The sequence below is a fragment of the Homo sapiens genome, chromosome 2 (assembly GCF_000001405.40).
Source record: "Homo sapiens chromosome 2, GRCh38.p14 Primary Assembly".
Lineage (NCBI taxonomy): Eukaryota > Metazoa > Chordata > Mammalia > Primates > Hominidae > Homo > Homo sapiens.
The window spans coordinates 238,633,144-238,654,133 of NC_000002.12; the positions used below are offsets into that span (position 1 = coordinate 238,633,144).

At 48.2% G+C, this 20,990-nt stretch overlaps 2 annotated features.

Annotated features, from left to right (window-relative positions):
- Positions 611 to 811: a silencer, noted in NCBI's record as "peak4103 fragment used in MPRA reporter construct". NCBI's record gives its function as "represses an SCP1 promoter by STARR-seq MPRAs in K562 erythroleukemia cells {active_cell/tissue: K562}" and the evidence as "EXISTENCE:reporter gene assay evidence [ECO:0000049][PMID:32103011]".
- Positions 5,427 to 5,928: an enhancer, noted in NCBI's record as "H3K4me1 hESC enhancer chr2:239547211-239547712 (GRCh37/hg19 assembly coordinates)". NCBI's record gives its function as "activates a minimal SCP1, AML or CMV promoter by ChIP-STARR-seq in primed H9 embryonic stem cells {active_cell/tissue: H9 hESC(primed)}" and the evidence as "EXISTENCE:reporter gene assay evidence [ECO:0000049][PMID:30033119]".

Sequence of the window (20,990 nt, forward strand, 5' to 3'; positions counted from 1 at the left end):
GACACTCTCCTGACCAGGGATGCGTGTGCGGTGTGTTTATGATGTTTGTGAATGTGATGTGTGTGGTGTATGTAGTATGTGTGCTATGGATGTGTGTGTGATGTGTGTGTAGTGTGTGATGTGTGTGGTATATGCAGTGTGTATGGGATATGTGTTATGTGTGTGTTGTGTGTTGTGGGTGTGCATGCATGAAGGGGGTGTGTGTGGGGGAGTCCTCCAGATACTACACAGAAGCCCTCAGGCCCCAACAAGCAGCCGTATTTGCTGTGCTGAGAGGCCATGGAAGCTTCGGGATCCAAGGCTGTGAACGATTATTCTATTCAATATTAACTTTTTTTCTAGAGTTTTCCAAAGTAAAATCTTACTCTTTTATAAAAGAAAAGGCCCCTCTGTTACTCATATTCTTTTGTGTTCTTCCCCTCATCTCACTAGATGAAGCTCAGAGAGTGCTTGCCGGGTCAGCGGCCGGATGCCCAGTGCGTTGTCTACGTTGTCAGTCAGTTCAGCAGTCGCCTTCCTTGTCAGTCAGTTCAGCGCGTCGCCTTCCTTGTCAGTCGGTTCAGCGCGTCGCCTTCCTTGTCAGTCGGTTCAGCGCGTCGCCTTCCTTGTCAGTCGGTTCAGCGCGTCGCCTTCCTTGTCAGTCGGTTCAGCGTGTCACCTTGTCAGTCGGTTCAGCGCGTCGCCTTCCTTGTCAGTCAGTTCAGCATGTCGCCTTCCTTGTCAGTCAGTTCAGCGCGTCGCCTTCCTTGTCAGTCAGTTCAGTGCGTCGCCTTCCTTGTCAGTCAGTTTGCCCTTCCTAGATGTTGGTCATGGCGGATCCTTACCAGTACGTGTTCCATTCATTTTTATATACATTTTACACGTACATCACTCAATGTATACTTTAGATATTGGTAAAGCTTAATTTCTTGTTTGTAAAAACCTAATATTTTCCCTGTACCCTGGAGAGTTACCTTGTGCCTGCAGGGTGTCGCTTCTTATCTGGGGGCCACTGGCCCAGGAACTCAACTGGTCCCATGTTGTTGCTTCTAATTACATCACCTCAGATTCATGTGCATTGAATTTTCACCTCCCAGCCAGCAGTAAATATAGTTAAGTAAAATGCAAATAACATATCTCAGTCCAGACTACTCACGAGAAAAACCTACAGTAAAAAACACCCTGGCCGAATCCTTTGAATCTAACGGCTTCAGAATCGTGCTCTCCAGCACTGGGGAGTCGGCTGTCACAGAGACACCTGCAGCTCCCGCGAAGGCCACATCACCACCTCCTCCTGCCCTCCGTGTGTTCTCCTCCTCAGTGGATGAGACCCTCGGCTCAGAGGGACCCTAAGCTCTTTCTCCTTCCTCATTCCCTCTGTCTGGTTAACCTCATTTACTGCCTCGATATTCTTCAGGTGGCTCCATCATTACCAGCATGACCTTAGTTTCAGATGCCAGCGGGTCTAGCCTGGGCACCCAATACCCCAGAATCCTCCATTTGTGGGTAGACCCGGCTGGTTTACAGAGTTTTCTCCAAGAGCCGACACGACTTTCCAGCTGTGCTGGGGTCCCCTCTAACAGCAGAGAGGTGACTGTGACCATTCGCAATGCAGGGAGGCCCCACAAACTCCACTGTTTCGGACAGATGACCCTGCAGCCATCAGATTTGCATCATAGAGCTTGGTGTCAGGAAGGGACTCTGGGAGACTAGTGGATGTGACTAGAGGGAGGAGGGGCCGAGGTCACCCCTCCAATGAGAGTCATGTCTCCCAGCTTGTCCCATTCCTCCTCCATCGCGGCAGCACTACGAGTGCTGGAAGGAGGGCACATGGTGGTTTCATCCCACAGACATGGACGGGGCATCTTTAATGTCCTTCCCCAGAGTAAAGAGTCAGGTGGTTTTTGTGTTGACTGATCCCATTTAGAGGGAAGGGCTCCTTTGGGTCTGAGACAGCACACACTGGGAGGCGGGGCAGGCACAGGCATGGGGGCACCTTGCAGTGAGCAAACAGAGAGGTGAAGCCATTTGTCTGGGCCCACGTGGGATAAAGGCCTTGCTGAGGCTACCATCTTGGGTAACCATGCCAACCTGCCCTCCCTTTTCTAAGGGCAGGGCAAAGGCAACCCAGCCTCTTGTGGGCTCCGTTCTGTCTTGGGCCTGCGTTCACGTCCAGCTGGAGAGAGGGTCAAATGCAGGCAGCTGGCATTTTAGGGACTCCCCAGTGTTTGAAAGCAGCTCAGCACTTTCATATGAGTTTGGAGAATGGGGTCTTTTTGTAAACTTTTATTTTAGGTTCAGGGGTACATGTGAAGGTTTGTTACATAAGTAAGCTCATGTCATGGGGGTTTGTTGTACAGATGATTTCATCACCCAGGTATGAAGCCCAGTACCCAACAGTTATCTTTTCTGCTCCTCTCCCTCCTCCTACCCTCCACCCTCAAGTAGACCCCAGTGCTGGGAGAACGCTGTGTTTACAAACTCGATGTGTGCCTGGTAGAAATTATTGCTTTCTTTCTCTCTCCGCTTTCCCCAGCTGAAATGCTGACCTGGAAAACATCAACCTTGCTCTCACATAAAGCATTTTTTTCCGGGACTGACATACAAAGCTCTGATGTAGAAATTGAAATTTCACACTCTGAAGGGCCCAAATGGCTTCAGAGGTCAGTGGGCGGCTGGACCCACTGGTGAGTCACGGGGAGAGATGCCACCCCAGATTAACATCAGCAGACACTTGTGCGTCAGAGGTTCTGCGCACTAAAAATGTTTGGTGGACATCTGTGTCCCCCCCCACCCCAAAATCCACCCCAGCACACACTCAACTCTTTTAGGCCGAGGGGCACGTCCCACTCATCTGGTGAATACATCAGCTGAATGCAATCTGCTCTCACAAACAGATGTCCCAGGAGGGTGGTGGAGGGGGGACACAGTGAATACTGGTTAGAAGTTGCCGGAAGGCTTTTTATGAGGTTCTTGTTTTGTGGGGTGGGGAGTAGAATGGCCAGAGAATTTACTTTAATTGAAACACACCTAATTTGGGTGCTTGAGCTGGGTATCTAAAAATATTTTTCTAGCCCTCATCCACAAGGAGGGTTTCTGTTTCCCGTCTGCTTATTTTCTCTGTCTTCCTGAAAAGACCAGGAAGAATTGGAGCAGGATCAACATGTGACCCTGGCCAGCCCGACAGGGGAGGCCGGGCCCATGGCTCACGGGACCCTCTGAGGGATCTCAACTCCACGCACGCGCACGGAGCGACTGTAGCCACTGTAGACGGAGAACGCTGCCATGCAGCATGGCGGATGCTTGCTTATTCCTGCCTGTTGGTTCCTGTTTTGTTTCAGGCCTGCAGGTGTAACGGCTACACTCTGTGAGCAATGCACACAGTGGCGGCATGTGGTGACAGTGGCCAGGCTGCAGTAGGGACACCTGCTCCCCAGTGGAGGCAGCCAGTGGTTTCCTGGACGCTTGCTTTATTGCTCACATTCTTTCTGTGTTAGCAACTTTCCCCTCCTTTCTACGAATCTCAAATGTCTCAGAGGAATGTTTAAATTATTATCAGATCCCAGGAGAGATTGCGATTTCCTATGCAACTTTTCCCTGCCTTGCATGACTCCCATGTAAAGCATCTCCCTCCAGGAGTGCCCAGCTGAGCCTCCCGTGACTGTCATTATCCATGCAGATGTGCGGCAGAACAAGTGACACAAATCTTAGCCCTCCATAACATCTCTATCAGTTTAGAGCTTTCAGAAAGCAAAGTATCGGGACCTGGAATGAGCGACGTGCTGTGGCTGAGAAGGGACAAATGGTGCCGGCTTGGAAATGATGGAGAATGCCAACTCCTCTCTTCTGGCAGGAGGCAAAGTGACATTGAATTAGAGATACGGCAGTAGTGCTTCTTTAGAGGGGTGCAATAGAAGGAGGTGCTTAGATTTCAATCCCAGCTTTGACTCCAACAAGATCTATGAGCTGTAAGAGGCCCAGCCTTGACTCCAACAAGATCTATGAGCCGTAACAGGTGCTTTCACTCACCTTAGCTTCCGTCCTCCTGTCTAGATGGAGGGGGCGGGACTCCATCACTTCCCAGGCCCCTCCAACTTTCCTGTTATAACTCTGTGGTCTTTGAGAGCTTACTTCCAGAACACCCTTCAACAAGGAAACACCCAGAAGACCAATGAAACCACCAAGAATGCCTCATCCAGGAAGAACGATGTGGTGGGTATACCCTAGGGTGCCCCTGGTCCCTGCCTCCTTGTGTGATCTCCTCCGCTGGGGGGTGAGGGTGATCTGCAGCATGCTTCTGACCCACAGATATGGCACAGGGGTGGCAGGTGGCTTCCTTTTGTTTCATTCAATGAGACTCTGTCATAGCTGACTTCTGGGAGATGTTCACCTGCTGGCCTGGAAGAAGGAAGGCGCCACATTGTGGGATGTCTATGGAGAGGGCCGTGTGGCACAGAGCTGTGCCCATCCTCCAGGAGATGTGCCTGCACTCCTAGCCCAAAGGAACTGTGAGACAACAAGTGTGTGTTAATGCCATTGAGGTTGTGGTGATTTGTTACTCAGCAAAAAATCCCACTGATCCAATGGACGCTTGGTCATGCCCACAGTGGCCCCAGTCCAGTGGCAGCCTGGGCAGCGAGCCACTCTCTCGGGTGCACTTCAGGAGGGCTCATGCTCATGCTGTTCAGATTGAAAAGGACATCACTGGCAGGGTGTGGTGGCTCATGCCTGTAATCCCAGCACTTTGGGAGGCCGAGGCGGGCGGATCACGAGGTCAGGAGATCAAGACCATCCTGGCTAACACGGTGAAACCCCGTCTCTACTAAAAATACAAAAAACAAGTTAGCCGGGCGTGGTGGCGGGTGCCTGTAGTCCCAGCTACTCTGGAGGCTGAAGCAGGAGAATGGCGTGAACCCGGGAGGCGGAGCTGGCATGAGCCAAGATTGCGCCCCTGCACTCCAGCCTGGGTGACAGAGCGAGACTCGTCTCAAAAAAAAAAAAAAAGGAAAAGAAACCCCAGAGGATCTTTTTGTGGTCCAATTTGCAATTCTCCAGGCCTTTCACCTACAGCGCCCTGTGTGAGTGCCTCGCTAGCCTGGTGGGCCAGCCTTATCCTGGGAGACTAGAGCCCGAGGCTTAGACCAGCAACTTGCCCAGGGTCTCAGAGGTAGGCAGTGGCGCCCCAAGATGGCCTCGGCAGCCCAGTGTGTTTTGGGGCCCACCTACTGCTTTATGGTAAAGCTGTGTGGCATGGATGAAAATACATTTCCCGCTTGGCATTCTGCGTGAGATGGGCACAGAAACAGCACACTTGACTTGAGAAGACTTTGGGAATCTGTCCCCTGAGCCCTTTCTTTTGTCCTGACAACTGTCACTTGGACACGTGACAGTCGTGTGTGGATGTGAGTAAATGTGATTTAGGCAGTGCTTGATTGATAGGTTCAATGGTCTGCAGCTGGTGCTGCCTGCCTCGGTGGCCTTTGAACGTCTTCTCTCTTTGGACGGCTGTCCTCCAACGAAGGAGGGGCAGCCGTGAAATATCAGGAGACAGCACCGGGCACTGCATGTTGGGGATCACAAAGACAGTGAGGTTTCTCTGGGGAAGCTGCAGGCACCATGATGCGAGGTGTCACAACATGTGAGCAAAGGAGTTTCTAGCTCAGCCAGGTGACATTTGACACATGTGGGATCCAGGACGTGGCCCTCCCCTGGGTGCAGGACTCACTTCTGCCCGAGGGCAGGGCTGTCTGGCAGGTCCCAGGGAAGGGGCTGGGAGCATCCTCTACGTGTTGCCTTCACTCTGGGTTGGAGCCTATGTATCTGAGAAATGGGATTTGCTGTCAAAAGGCTCCAGGAATGCCCATTGTGAGAGACTGTGGCTGCAGATACCTCACAGCCTGCAGTCAAGTGCTGCCTCTGGGTCCCGGGAGCCTTCAGGCAGAGCAGCGTTTGCCAAGGGTCACGACGGCTGTGTTCCGTGGTGAGTCCATGCACAGATGCAGTGTCGCTGGTGCCGCACAGCAAAGGAAGGCGTTCAACCACTGTGCACCTCAGTCCACTCCTCACCTGAGGCAACTCACGGGTGCTGGTGGTTCCAGAATGGCTATGCGGCGACACTCTGCGGTTGAGGAAGAGGGGTCCAGAGATGAAACAAACTGCATCGCCAGGTGGCTTAAGCAAGAAAAGCCACATTTCTGTCCCCACTGGAAGCACAGCTTTCCCATTCTTTTGAGAAGCTCCGAGCATATTAGCAACAGTTCACAGCTGCCTTCAGATTCCCTGCTTTTCCTTGCCTGAGGCCTCTGGCAAATCTTCCCTTCGAGGCTCACATTTTCTATACTTGATCTCACTCAGAGGTGAATTTTCTTCAATTTTCTGTTTGTCTGAATGAGATGTGCTCAGCTTCGAGGTGCTATTGAGAATAAGAACAAAGCATCTCTTTGTCTTCAGAGCACTTTCCCTGGCAGCTCTGGACAGCTCGGATTCTGAATATTAACTTTTCCCAATGCTTCAGTTGTTATTAAAGTAGAAGTCTTGGTCCATCTCCACCTTGAATCTAATGTTTGTAGAAAGATTCATGTTAGCCCACATGTAGAACTCGATTTATAGGCAAGAGACCTTGAAACTCTTTGAATTCAAATGTTGGAAGCCTTCAATGAAATGGAAGAAAAAAGTGAGGACTTTTTTTTTTCTTTTCTTTTTTTTTAGATGGAGTTTAGCTCTTGTTGCATAGGCTGGAGTGAAATGGCATGACCTCGGCTCACTGCCACCTCTGCCTCCCGGGTTCAAGCGATTTTCCTGCCTCAGCCTCCTGAGTAGCTGGGATTACAGGCGCCCGCCACCACACCTGGCTAATTTTTTGTATTTTTAGTAGAGACGGGGTTTTGGCCCCATGTTGGCCAGGCTGGTCTCGAACTCCTGACCTCAGGTGATCCACCTGCCTCGGCCTTCCAAAGTGTTGGGATTACAGGCGTGAGCTACTGTGCCAGGCCAAAAGTCAGTACATTCTGTTTTTAGGAGAAAGAGGAAAAGCATGAGGAATCAAATTTATCTTGAGGATAATTAAAAGAAAGAAAACTCTGACACATTTAGTCCAATGTCTATAGATATCTCTATAGCTACCTGTTTGGTGCTGTGGGAATGTTTCTTTCCCTAGTCCTCTGGGACCACTCAAGATATGTGATTATAAAATAAATCCCTTCCTTTGCAAATCAAGGCAGACAAGTGAATTAAAATATTTTGAATGAGAAAGTTGGAAAAAAAAGTTTTCTGGGTAGCTCCACTTTTCCAGAAAATTCTATCCATGAACTGCATGTCCCCAGGCACTGTGATTTCTGGCACATTTGTCCATCTGTGGTTGGCTTGCAGCCATGAGCCTAAGGACGTGGAAGAAGATTTTCATTGTCTTCCTGAGAGTCCGGAGTCTCTCTAGTGATGCACGGGATGCTCTTGTCTTCCTTACTGGACTGGTCAACTTTGGTGCTTAGAACTGGATGGGTCTGTCCTTACAGCCCTGCCTGGGATGGGGTGCAGGGGAAGGGCACCACTAACTGTCAGGAGCCTGCCCCTCGGATCACCTTCCAGATGCAGCATCCCGACAAAATGCCACGAAGGTGGTTTTTTCCTAAAAGCCAGGAAGCATAACTTGGTCTTTGTGGTCATCCCGCTTCTGGTAGGTCATGTCGTGCTAAGTACTGAGTAGAAAAGTGGACAGTTTTTTCAACACATATGCCCCTTAAAGAAATTCTCAGCAAACAAGAACACATGGAACATCTTAGAAAATTAATTAATTCACCTCAAATCCTCCTCCTCCGATGCATATGTAATACTGAGCGTCTATTGCTAAAAATCAGACGAATGCACATGTTGTAGATATAAACCAGTAGGAGACAACTTTGGGGAAAATTTTTAAAACAAAACATATTCCGATGTGTTTGAATTATGCATTGTGAAGATATTCAGACTTTCCATGACTGAGGCAGCCATGATTGCTGTTTGTTTTTAAGGGCAACACACGTTTCAAAGATTTTGTTTTGTTCTGTTTGTTTTTCCTACAGAGCTAGGATTTGCAAGACAAATATGGCTTATACTTTAGAGGAATGGGATTCGAAGATGGAGAAATAAAACGCCAAAATCAAAAAAATTTTATGAATGTCATTTCTTTCTGATATCATGATAATTCTCATTACAATAAAAAGAACCTGTGAGATGATTCCATTTCTGGTGAGCGGAAAGTGCCGAGCGACTCTCCTTCTCAAGGAAGGTTGAGGTACAAGGGCAAGCTTTTGTACTTGGATTTAAAAGAGAAGTTCTAGTTTTAAATTCTTGGTCTGCTGTTAACCAGCTGTAAATGTTGGGAAGTCATTTTCTTCATCTGTAAAATGCGTAAAAGGAATATTTGTCTTATAGGATTTTTGCACTTTGAAATCCAACTATGCAACTCATTATTTCTTTCAACTGTGGCCACATTCAGGATCCCATGGTGTACTAAAATCTCTTTGAATCAGAAAGCAAAGAAGAAGGAAGAAACATTGGCGTTTTCCCTGTCTCCAGCATGGCTGTAGGATGCAGAGTGATTGAAAATGGACATTTATTAAGATGATTAATGTGTGCCCTCGGTTCTACGAGATTGTCTGTATAAATTGTCTTTCCCTATTCAGTCTTTGTAATTTGCGCCTTCTCTATTTTTCGGTAGATATTTTTTGCATTTGGGGAGGTTTACTTTTTTTTTTTTTTTTTTTTATAAAGTTTGCCTTTATAGTAAGACTTTCATACAATACCATTTGCATTAGACGAAGGCCTAGTCATGAGAAAATCACATCCGTTAACTGACCAGGGAGCATTTACTCTAATTATTAACTCGGAAAAGAGAAGAGCTCCTAATGGATAAAGAGCACACGGGACAGCTGTGCAGGGAGCAAGTACCGCCTCCAGGGCTAAGGCAGGGCCCTAGGGAAGGAACACACTGAGAAAAAGCTCCCCACCCCATGTACCCCAGGAAAGGATGTGGCGCAGCGCCACTGCATATTCTGCTCCTAGAGACCAAATTGTAAAAATAACCTGCATCAACTTGCATGTAAAAATATACTGGTGGGGCCGGGCGCGGTGGCTCACACCTGTAATCCCAGCACTTTGGGAGGCCGATGTGAGTGGATCACCTGAGGTCAAGAGTTCGAGACCAGCCTGGCCAACATGGCGAAAACCCATCTCTACTAAAAATACAAAATTAGCTGGGCATGGTGGCGGGCGCCTGTAATTCCAGCTACTCTGGAGGTTGAGGCAGGAGAATCGCTTGAGCCTGGGAGGCAGAGGTTGCAGTGAACCGGGATCACGCCATAGCACTTTAGTCTGGGTGACAGACTCAGACACTGTCTCAAAAAAAAAAAAAATACTGGTAGGAGAGAAAAAGAAAATGGTTAGGACGTCTAAATAAAAACACACAGAGGAGCAAAAATATGCAAAGCTACTTGTTTCTGTATTGGTCATGAGGCCGTAGTTGACATATTTGGCTTCCTTTGTCAATGACTTGTTCCGTATTTCCCCAGCTTTAGCTAGAACCTCTGCTCATGCTGTCCTTTGCCTAGCATAGTGACCCTGACATTCATTCATAAAGTGTCTGGATCTTTGATCCTGCGGCCTCTTCTTTGGTTGCTGTAATTTTATATCACCCTTTGCTACAGGGCATGAAAATACTAAGAGGCATCCTGGGGTCCAGACATGGTCCCTCTACTCTCTGAAGAGAGAATTTTTTCACCAAGGTGTGATGGGGCTGCTGCCCCATCGTGGGCATGCAGATGTCATTATGTTAGGAGTTTTCAGGTGAGACCATCCTGTGCAGGGGAGGACTGGACACCAAGGCCTAGATCTGGGTTTAGGAGGAGAAACGGCCACTCTATGAAAGCGCCCATCAGAGCCGCTTGCTCCAAGCCTGCTTTACCAAAGCCCTGCTGCTATTGTTTGGGGCCTCATTTCCACTGCTGCTGCTCCTGGGTCTGTTTCGCTTAGAAGCCTCCCAGATGCACAGCGTCTGGCGAGGTGGTGTCGGGGACCCCTTCTTGTGGGGAGCGCCACCCCACGGAGGGCTGGAGTCAGGAAGTGCTGATGGCCTGTCTTGTTCCAGGTTGCTTTTCAGAATCGGAACTTTCATTCCATGTACAGTTGTAGACACCCGTGGATGCCCGAAACCTCAGATAGTACCAAATCCTACATGTACTGTGCTTTTTCCTATGCATATATACCTACAATAAGCTTCATTTATAAATTAGGTGTGGTAAGGGGTTAACAATAACTAACAATAAAATAGAATAATTATAACAGTTGCCAGCATCATCACTCTGGTGTTTTAGGGCCATTATTAAGTAATATAAGGACCACTTGACAATCTGATCACTGAGACGCCTGTGAAGTGGGGTCTAGAATGTGGATGAGCTGGGTGAAGGGACAATCCCTGTCTGGGGGATGGAGTAGGTGGTGTGAGATTTCATCACACTGCTCAGAATGGCATATCATTGAAAACACATGAACTATCCATCTCTGGCACTTTCCATTTACTATTTTCAGACCTTGGTTTACCGTGGGTAACTGAAACCTCAGAAAGTGAAACTGTGGATGAGGGGGCACTGCTGTAGAAGGCAAGGTAACGCTGGGATTTGGAGGAAACTCTTAGAAGCCAGTGATGATGTGGACTTGCTCATTGATTGATTGATTGATTGATTTTTTGGTAAACTGAAAGCTACGAAGAGCCACAAATGAATGAAGACGACTGAGGCAAACTGAGCCTCTGAGTGCCCCTGGAGGGAGACTCCCTTCTCTGTGGGGTTTGCTCTGAGTGGTTAATAATCCAGGTAGAAAATCCACTGGTAGAGGTAGTGCAGGGTGGGAAGAGACCTGGGAAGGAGGCTTTGGTCCAGGTCCTAGAGCAGGCTCCAGTGTGACTCCAGGAGACTGAGATATCCAGGGGCCATCCCACACTGTGCTTCCTAAAGTCTACTTAGCGGCCCCCTCACTCACTGGATAAGAACAGTGGCTTCCTCCTCACTGAGCTTTCACTGGTGCCTTAGGCTCCACTGTTGGAGATCTAGTTGTTTTAGTCACTCTGTTGTCTCATGCTGGAGAGAAGCGACCTTTCACATGAGAGTTAGTCACTTGTCTATGGTGAGTCAGATGCTATCAGCTGCCCTTGGTGACAGGAGGCTATGGATGGATATTAATGGCTGGGAGGAGGGTCAGGAGGCCACCAGCAAGCTGAAAAGAGTGGCTTGGAGAGGTGACAGTAAGTCCTAGAAGGAGAGATGAGCCTGGGAATGTCCAACTCCATCGGCTGACAGGGCTGACCTGCTCTGCACCTGCCGTGTGAAAGGTACCTGGGTCTGAGTCAGGTCCCGTAGGGCCCAAGCACACTCACATGGACTTCCTGTTACTGGGGCTGCAAAGAGTTGCTACTTCCAACTGGAAGGGGCTCTGACCAAATTCACAGCCCTGGACCAATCTTTCTGTTTGGCTTGTAGCAAACTTGCAAATTCCTGTGAGGGGAAACAAGATTTATTTCTCATTGAAACATTCACAGAAGAATCAGGTTCAAATAATTATTCCCGACTTCACTTCCCTTTTACTCTGCGTTGCTTCACAAAGACGCACACACACGCACACAGAAATGAGTCATATGTTCAGCTTTCTGAAAGTCAAAGAGAATAAACAGATGCCACAGAGGAGATGGAAAACTGGCATTGTTTTAATAAAAACTCTGAAGACAAAGGAAGGAACAGAAACTTAAAGATTTAAAAGAGCAAATCCCAATGGTGGGTGATTCAAACATCTTTCCAATTCCCACTCCCACCCCAGGAAATGCTCCCTAAGCGTGAAGGAGGGAGGTGTCTGCAAGCTTCCTGCTGACATGGCCCGGGACAGGCAGAGTCCAAGAACAAAGGACTGGCTAAGAAAAGCATGGAGATCAAAAATACTTAAAAATATACATGGGTATGAAAAGGGTTAGACAGCTAGAAAACAAAATACAAAATGTCACCTTTGAGTAGTGAAGTTTTGGATGATTTTTATTTTCTTATTTTATATAAAATTTATAACAGGGGTCCCCAATCCCTGGGCCATGGACTGGCACTGGTACCTGTCTGTGGCCTGTTAGGAACCAGGCCTCACCGGGCCTCACGGCAGGAAGTGAGTATTGGGTAAGCGAGCAAAGCTTCATCTGTATTTACAGCTACTTCCCATCACTCACATTCTCACCTGAGCTCTACCTCCTGTCAGATCAGCCGCAGCATTAGCTTCTCGTAGGAGCACAAACCCTACTGTGAACTGCGCATGTGAAGGATCTAGGTGTGTACTCCTTACAAGAATCTAATGCCTGATGACCTGTCACTGTCTCCCATCACTCCCAGATGGGACCATCTAGTTGCAAAAAAAAAAAAAAAAAAAAAAAAAAAGCTCAGGGCTCCCACTGAATCCACATTATGGTGAGTTGTATAATTATTTCATGATATATTACAATGTAATAATAATAGAAAGTGCACAATTAATGTAATGCACCTGAATCATCCTGAAACCATCCCCCTTCCCCGGTCTGTGGAAAAATTGTCTTCCACAAAACCTGTCCCTGGTGCCAAAAAAGGTTGAGGATCGCTGTTTTATAATATACCAGTATTGCTTTGTTCATTAGAAAAATGTACAGATTATTTAATAAACAGCTAGATCACTGGCCTCATTTGACCACACAGCATAAGTAAACAACTTGCCCCAGGTCATCCAGTGCACATACCAGTCAGGCTGGTGCCAATTTTGTGCTTTGTCTGCTGTACTATACACCATAAGTGCCACCACCCTCACCCAAAGATAATGAGCCTTGCCAGCCAGAGGGGAGAAAAATCATTTGAAATGATTTTTACAGTAATTTATTGAGGTGAAATTCACATGAAATAAAACTAACAATTTTTGCCATTCAGTGGCAGGGAGTACAGTCACAAAGCTGCACAGCCACCCCCTCTACCTGGTTCTAAAACATTCCCATTGCTGCACAGCAAAACCCCTTATGCATTAAGCAGTTTTTCCCTATTCCTCAACCCCCACAGACCCTGGCAAACCCCAATCTGCATTCTGATAGGATTTTTCTTTTTAAAGGAAACATTTTAACTTTTATAAAATAATTTTGGAAGTGACTCATACTTTGTTTCAACCTCTGGAGAGGCAAATATTCTGCCATGGTCCAAAAGTGATGGGATTTCTGGGTGACCTTTTCTGGGTACAGTCTCCTTGGTGTTGGTGGGATTTCTGGCTGTTGGAGGCCGGAGCCCTGAGTCCAGAGCCCAGCAGAGGCCTGGTCTGCCAAGCCTTGGCATTCGTCACAAGCACAGGGTGTAGCACTCTCTATTATATTTACTTTTGCAGGAGACCTCTGGATTATTTAGCTCTGCAATGCTCACTGGTGAGTTCAGAACTAACAATTACTCCTAAGACAGTATGCGCATGTCAGACCATGGTTAAAAACGGACAGTGCTGACAATCTTTAGGGTTCTGTCATATCCCCCAGAAGGGCTTCAGTGTGGACCATTTCACTCCAGATAGGCTCCAAGGGGTTTGGAAACACCATCAAGAGGACATCGCATGTGAGGAATTTTTGAACCGACTGAAGGACTTTGAAAGTGAAATTTCCTGACAGGCTTAAACTTCCACATCAAACATTAGCATCTTCAATAATTTCAAACAATGGGACTATAAAGTTTGCAACTGCCTTTGGAAGGAAGAAAGTGAAACGAGCTCATCTTAGCAACTGAGGGAGAGGAGAGCAGGGAGGTGGGAGTGAAAGTGGTGGGTCCAGGAAGAGACAGGTAGAGGGAGGTGGGGCTGGCAGCCCTCATGCCAGGTAGTAAGCCTGACAGCCTCCAGGTCTGGAAGCCTGAAGTATGCAGAGGGTTCCACTACATGCCTGCTACATCCTTAACGGCCTTACACATCTCCACCAGTCAGGTGAGGACCATATTATCTCTGCTTTAGGGATAGACACGAAGACTTGGAAGGGTCTACGCTGCTCTCATAGTTTAGACTACACCCTTGCTTGGATTTCTTGTACATCAGTCCTTCCACAACACCATGATCGACAATTTCAAAATGCTTTCCAAAGCCCAGTTTGAGTACATCGCCTATCTAGTACCCTTCATCCCCATTCTCTCTTTCCCCACTTAGGCCATCACAAGACCACTATCTTGGCAAGAGTAGAGTTGCTACTGAGTACAAAGTGCATATGTTGGACTTTTTATTTCAATGTTCTAAAGGAGAAGAAAAGATGTACCAAAAAGAGAAGAAAAAGCAGGCTCCAAGCTGCTAAACCTTGGCCTGGGGACTTGTGTGTCTAGTATGATCTGTGGGCATGGCCATGGGACTCATGCTTTGCTTGTTAGTTGTCTAAAAGGAGTAGAGCAGAATCATTATAGAAGACTTGGAAAATGCAGAAAGATTATAAAGACTTACGAGGATAACTGTGAATACTTTGGGGAATCTCTTCTGGTCTTGTTTCTGTGAATATAATAATAATGTATATATTTTTACATTTTCTGAAAATGGGAAGTTATATTTTATGTTATGGTATAGGTTATGTTATGCTTAGATTTATATTATGTTTCTTGGTGACTGCCATTTTTACTAAGGGATCTATTCTGAGCATTAATGATGATTTGAAATATTCCCCTAAATCACACTTTAAAAATGATTCTATACAGTTCTATCACCTGAATTTATCAAAACTAATTATTTAATCCTTTATGTCTAGATGTTTTGGTTGGCTTTGTACATGCATCTTTCCTTTCAACCTTTTGTACTATATCCTGGGATTTTTATATCCAAAAATGTTATTATTGAATTTCATAACATAAGCAACCTATTTTCCAAGAATAATTGTAATATTTTTATTACTTTTAATAAATATTCTAACAGTATTTATTTAAACTCATTCCTTTTTAAAAACTGTTTCTATTGGTCTCCATTTTTTAACTTTTCCATATTTTTGAACTCTCAATATTGAATCTTTTTTATTCAACTATAAAATGTTGAAGTAATTTTTAGAGTATGTATGTATATATGTGTCTGTATAGACAGTTTTTGAGCCTCCATATCCAAAAGTGTCTCCATACTATCCTCATACTTGGTGGAAAGATTCTCTGGTCACAATTTTTTCCCCTCAAAGGTTTTAAAAAAATCTGAGAGTTTTAAAATTTCAGGCACTTAAGTGATATTAATTAGGAAAAGTCTCAGGTGGCTTGATTTTTTCTTTTCTTTTTAAAAACACTTTCTAGTTAAAATATGCAAATACTTGGTTTAAAAACTCAAACAAGGCCAGGCACGGTGGCTCACACCTGTAATCCAAGCACTTTGGGAGGCTGAGGCAGGTGGATCACCTAAGGTTAGGAGTTCGAGACCAGCCTGGCCAACATGGCAAAACCCCTGTCTCTACTAAAAATGCAAAAATTGGCCAGGTGTGGTGGTGTGCACCTGTAGTCTCAGCTACTCAGGAGGCTGAGGTGGGAGAATCGCTTGAACCCAGGAAGCAGAGGTTACAGTGAGCAGAGATCGCATGACTGCACTGCAGCCTGGGCAACAGAGTGAGACTCCATCTCAAAAAAAAAAAAAAAAAAAAAAGTCAAACAAGATTGTTCTACTTTTTCCATCTCCCATTCCTGCACCCAGGATTTTTGGGTTTTGAGCTGTTTTGAGCTGTTTTCTTTTTGCAGAAAGATTATAAAGAGTTAAAGGATAACTGTGAATACTTCGGGGAATCTGTTCTGGTCTTGTTTCTGTGAATATAATAATGTATGTATTTTTATATTTTCTGAAAATGGGAAGTTATATTTTATGTTATTTTATAGGTGGAATTAAAATTTCAGGCATTTAAGTGATATTAATTAGGAAAAATCTCAGGTAGCTTGATTTTTTCTTTTTAAAAACACTTTCTAGTTAAAATATGCAAATGCTTGGTTTAAAAAGTCAAACAAGGCTAGGCGTGGTGGCTCACGCCTGTAATCCAAGCACTTTGGGAGGCTGAGACAGGCGGATCTTTTCTGTTTGAATAGTTTTTGCGCTGTTTTCTTCGGTACTGACCCCGTGTTTCTAAGAGACATGCTCATGGCTTTTCTCTTTTTGTGTCGACTGACTTTCTGTTGTGGAAGAGAATGAGTCTCCTTCTATCACGCCCCATGCCCACCTGCCCACACATCCCTTCACCACTAAGTATTCCCTGTTGAGTCATTTCATAATTGTTGGCTAAATCAATATTTGGTGTTTTTTATTACTATCATGTAAATATTTTTCACAGTTAAGGCACATATTGTACCAAAAACATACAACCTTTTTTTGGGAAGTCAGCTTCTTTGATTTTCTTGAAACTTTCCTTCCTCTTTTAAAATATGTTTTTCTATTTACCTATTTTAAATTCCACCTCAAACTTTACAGCAAACCCAAACCCCTTTCAATGTCACATTCTGTGACTTTCTGTTTTGGGGTCATCCCTCCTAGTGTCCTCCAGCTCCTGCCCCAGGCTGGGCACCCCAGGCCACCACACAGTGACGACCCTGGGCTTCTCCTCACCATCATCCTGGGAATTCCTTTGGCTTTTCCACTGGGTGGGATTCTCTGTTTTCTGGATTTTCTATCTTCTTTCTTCAGGACTGAATCCCTTATTTGACCGTGAAAGACGTCCTTCAATATTACCTAAGAAAGGGTACACGTGAAGTCAACTTTCTGATGTCTGAAAATTTCTTTGTTCTGTTCTCATAGGTGATTAAAATGTGGTCGGGTATAGACTTCGAGGTTGGAAGTCATGCCATCTTGCATCTGGTCTCAGGCCACTCTTAATTCCAATCTGCCCATGGGCATGGGTGGACAGTCAGGGAAGGTCTGGAGAGAGGTGGTTCAGTGTGAACAGACGACAAGAGCGCTTGGTCAGGGGACCAGGGCAGGCCAGCTTGCCTCACGAGGAACAGAGCCAGGCTCCGTGTGACTTTAGGCATCCTGGTGGAGCGGGCAGCCGGCTGAGGGCAGCTTCTGGCGTCCTGGTGGAGCAGGGCAGCTGGCTGAGGGGCTCCAGGGGATGATGTTGGGCTGCCATTGGGGCCAGCGTATCCAGGCCTTGTACCCCGCAGGAGCAGTCAGGGGCTGGGCAGGAAACAGGGCTCAACCTGGGGTCCAGTGAGGATTCCTGTGGGGAGGGCAGGGTTAAGGGGGCCCACAGGGAAGTCAAGGCACCCAGGGGCTGGCAACAGTGGGGAGCTGCTGTATCCCCAGGGCTAACGGGCCCACAGAGAGGGGCCTCTTGGGAGAAGCTGCAGCTTGGGTGGTGCAGCACCAAAGCAGGAGGGTACAGGAGAAACACCAACCTCTCCATCCACCCTTCTGCTCCTGCTACGCCTTCCCCAAGCACAACCCAAAGAGAGCAGCCACAAGGGAATGGGGGGAACGAACAGGGTGAGGGTATCAGCTGAAGAATGTGCAGTGTCCTCAGCACCCCAGGCCCCCAGAATCCATTCCTGTCCTTTGTTCAGATGGAGAAACTCCCAGCCCCCTCCCAGGAGACACCAAGGCTCACTGGCCACCCCGTCATTGTGGGATGATGTTAGGCAATTGTTCCTCTGCCCGAACCTGACACCTGGTTCCACTGGTGCCCATCATGGAGGATGTAGCAAAGCATAGGATGAAAGAAAAAAAATGCAGAGAATGCATGCCTGGCCGCTCCAGCCACCTCCATAGCCGGCCATCCTCCTCTGATAGCTGGGGATCCCCTTACCCCCTGCCATAGCTTGCCTTCTCCTAGCTCCCACCAAAGCTGGTCGTCAAGCCAACATAGATCATCATAGCTCCCTCCTTCTATCACTCACTCCTGGAAACCTGTGACTGCCACTTACAGCCTCAGACCCCCAATGAGGTTCAATCTCAGCCTTCTGTCTCTGTGGCCTCTCGTGGTCAATGTGCTGTGCCCTGAGGGTGGGCAGTGCCAGAAGAGGTCTGCCCAGGAGAGGAATGTGTTATCACCGCCATGGTGTGGAGCTGCCATCACATGGCTATAGTACAAAGCAGACTGTGTCAGTTATATTCTTATTCTAAATTATCTGCCAAAAAACCACTTTCTTGTTGTGTGCACCCAGCATGGGAAACTCCCACCCTCCCTGCCCCCATCCATCCCTGATGATAACTGGACTCACCTCACCTCTGGGGTGATGCCCCCATTATCCCTGCCCCCATCCATCCCTAATGATAACTGGACTTGCCTCACATCTGGGGTGAAGCCCCCATTAGTGAGCCCACCATTGTTGGAGTGATCAAGCCTGGCAGCCTCACCCTCTTTGCCCTCCACCTGCACACCATCCCATGCCAACTTGATGACAATTAGGGTGACTGTGACCCCACTGCCTGCTCAGGTTTCCTGGATCCCATTTTCCCTGGTAAAGGGTCATCTGTGCCTTCATCAAGGATCTGAGTAGCCTGGCCCCAGAAGCCCATTTTTGGGGTCTGTTTTTGGATGCTTCCAGCTAGTTCCCAGAAGATATCAGAATTCATCTCTGCCTTAGTCTGTTTTGTGTTGCTACAAAGGGACACCTGAGGCTGGACAGCTGATAAAGAAAAGAGGTTTATTTGGCTCATGTTTCTGCAGGCTGTACAAGAAACATGGCGCCAGCATCTGCTCCCGGCGAGGCCTCAGGCTACCTCTACTCATGGCAGAAAGCCCACGGGTGTGAGCAAGTGCAGAAATCACACCACAAGACAGGCCACAAAAGGAGAGGAGGAGCTGGGGTCTTTCTAACAACCAGTTCTCACCAGAACTAAGTGGGACCTCACTTGTCACTACAAGGAGGGCACTAAGCTACTCATGAGGACTCCACTCCCACGACCCAGACACCTCCCACCAGCCCCCACTTCCAACACTGGGGATAAATTTCCACATGAGACTTGGTGGAGTCAAACAAACTATGTCCAAACCATAGCAGGCCCCAGGGGTTCAAACGAGGAGACTCTGATGACACGGTCACTGGAGAGGGGTGAGCAGTATTACCGGACTATGGGCTGGTGCACACCCTTGACTAGCAACAGTGGGGAGCTGTTCCCACCCTGGGTCTACAGCACAGGGCCGGGGACTAGGGAGAGCGCTCTGCCTTGGAGAGCTGCAGCCCTGTGGGGGCCGGGGCCCCTCTGCTCCTGCCTGTGCTTCTCCTCCTGGCTCCCTGTGGTTGAGTCTAACCTGAACGGAGCCTGTGGTGGAGAAGAACCAGCACAGCTGCCATGTGAAGGAGTCTCAGCTTTATCTTCCGGGTAGTGGGGAGCCTGGAGAGAGACACAGCTCAGTGGTGGGAAACATCTGTGATGGGAGTGGGGGTCGCCCAGATGCAGGGGAGCAGTCAGGAGACCACCACCAATGTAAACAATGGAGTTCACTTCCTGAGCCCTGGCCATGGTCCAGGACCCCGCAGTGAGGTGGCTGTGCAGGGGCCGTCACCATCCGCCATTCATGGGTGGGGAAGCTGAGAGGTTAAGGTAGAGTGACCTTACGTCCTGCCTGGCCCAGGACTGTCCTGGTTTATGCTGATGTCCTGATGTCATTATTGATGGCGCCCTTTACGTTTTCCAAAGTGGCCCAGTTTGGGAGATACATGATGGGGTCTCCCAGGTTACCGTGTCAGCAGTAGGTGTGGGGATTCTCACCTGGCCAAAGCTTGGGCAACAGCGTGGAGGAGAGATGTCAGCTCTGAGACATGCATCTTCATAGAAGGGGGAGGTCATGTGCTGGAGGCTGGGGGAAGGGAAGAGCACAGAAGGAGCAGGCCCCGTGGGGAGAGGATGAGCTGCTTGGGGCATATTTACACATTCGTGGTCCCTGCAGGTCCCGGCAGGAGAGCATCCTGCTGGAAATGGTCAAGTTGGTCCTGTGGTCCACGCTGCCACGGGCTGCCTCTGTGACTGTGGTGTGTCACTGGTCCCGGCCCACGCTGCCACGGGCTGCCTCTGTGACTGTGGTGTGTCACTGGTCCCGGCCCACGCTGCCACGGGCTGCCTCTGTGACTGTGGTGTGTCACTGGTCCCGGCCCACGCTGCCACGGGCTGCCTCTGTGACTGTGGTGTGTCACTGGTCCCGGCCCATGCTGCCATGGGCTGCCTCTGTGACTGTGGTGTGTCACTGGTGCTATGGTCCATTGCAGAACCAGTGACCTGACATGGCAAAGGGAGGTTGCAGATGTGATTCACTGAATGATCTTGAGATGAGAGATGATCCTGGGTTACTCAGGTGGCCTAATGACATCCCAGGGTCCTTAAAAGTGGAGAGAGAAGACAATGGGAGAAGAGTAGAGAGAAGTGACATGATGTGACGCGGGAGGCTTCAACACCATGCTGCTTGTTCTGAGATCCATGGGGCAAGCGTCTGCCAGCCAGCAGGGTGACAGAGACCTCAATCCTGCACCTGCATGGAGCTGAGTTCTGTCAACCCCTGAATGAACAGGAAACAGATTTTCCCCTAGGGCCTCCAGAAGGAATGCAGCCAGATTTTAGCTCAGTGCGACTGACCCTGTCACTCTTCTGACCTCTGGAACTGTAAGGCAGTTGGTGAGAGAGTAGGAATTTGTCACGGCAGCTGTAGGACACCGATGCACTTGTGCTGTCTGGATTCCTCTACGGGCACCAGAGAGGTCCTGTGTCTGCTCAGATGACACACTGCAGAGGCAAACCTTCAAAGGGCCATCCTGCACCTCCTGAAGCAAGGAGCAAGCCCATCAGGTGACTGTGGGTGACTGTGGGTGGTGGGGCGGAGTAGGGGGCTCTGGTCCTGGCAGTCTCCAAATCCCTCCCTCTACCCATGATGGCACTGGGTCCTCGAGCTCTGCCAGGCAGTGATGGCGATGGCTCTGGCCTGCTCTTCTTCCACGCAGCCTGGGGCTTCTGTCGGTCGCACACAGCTGTGTGGTGTGGGGGCAGCTCATGTGTGGGGGTTGCTGGCTAAATTGCAAATGCCTTCTCCCCACCGTATTGCC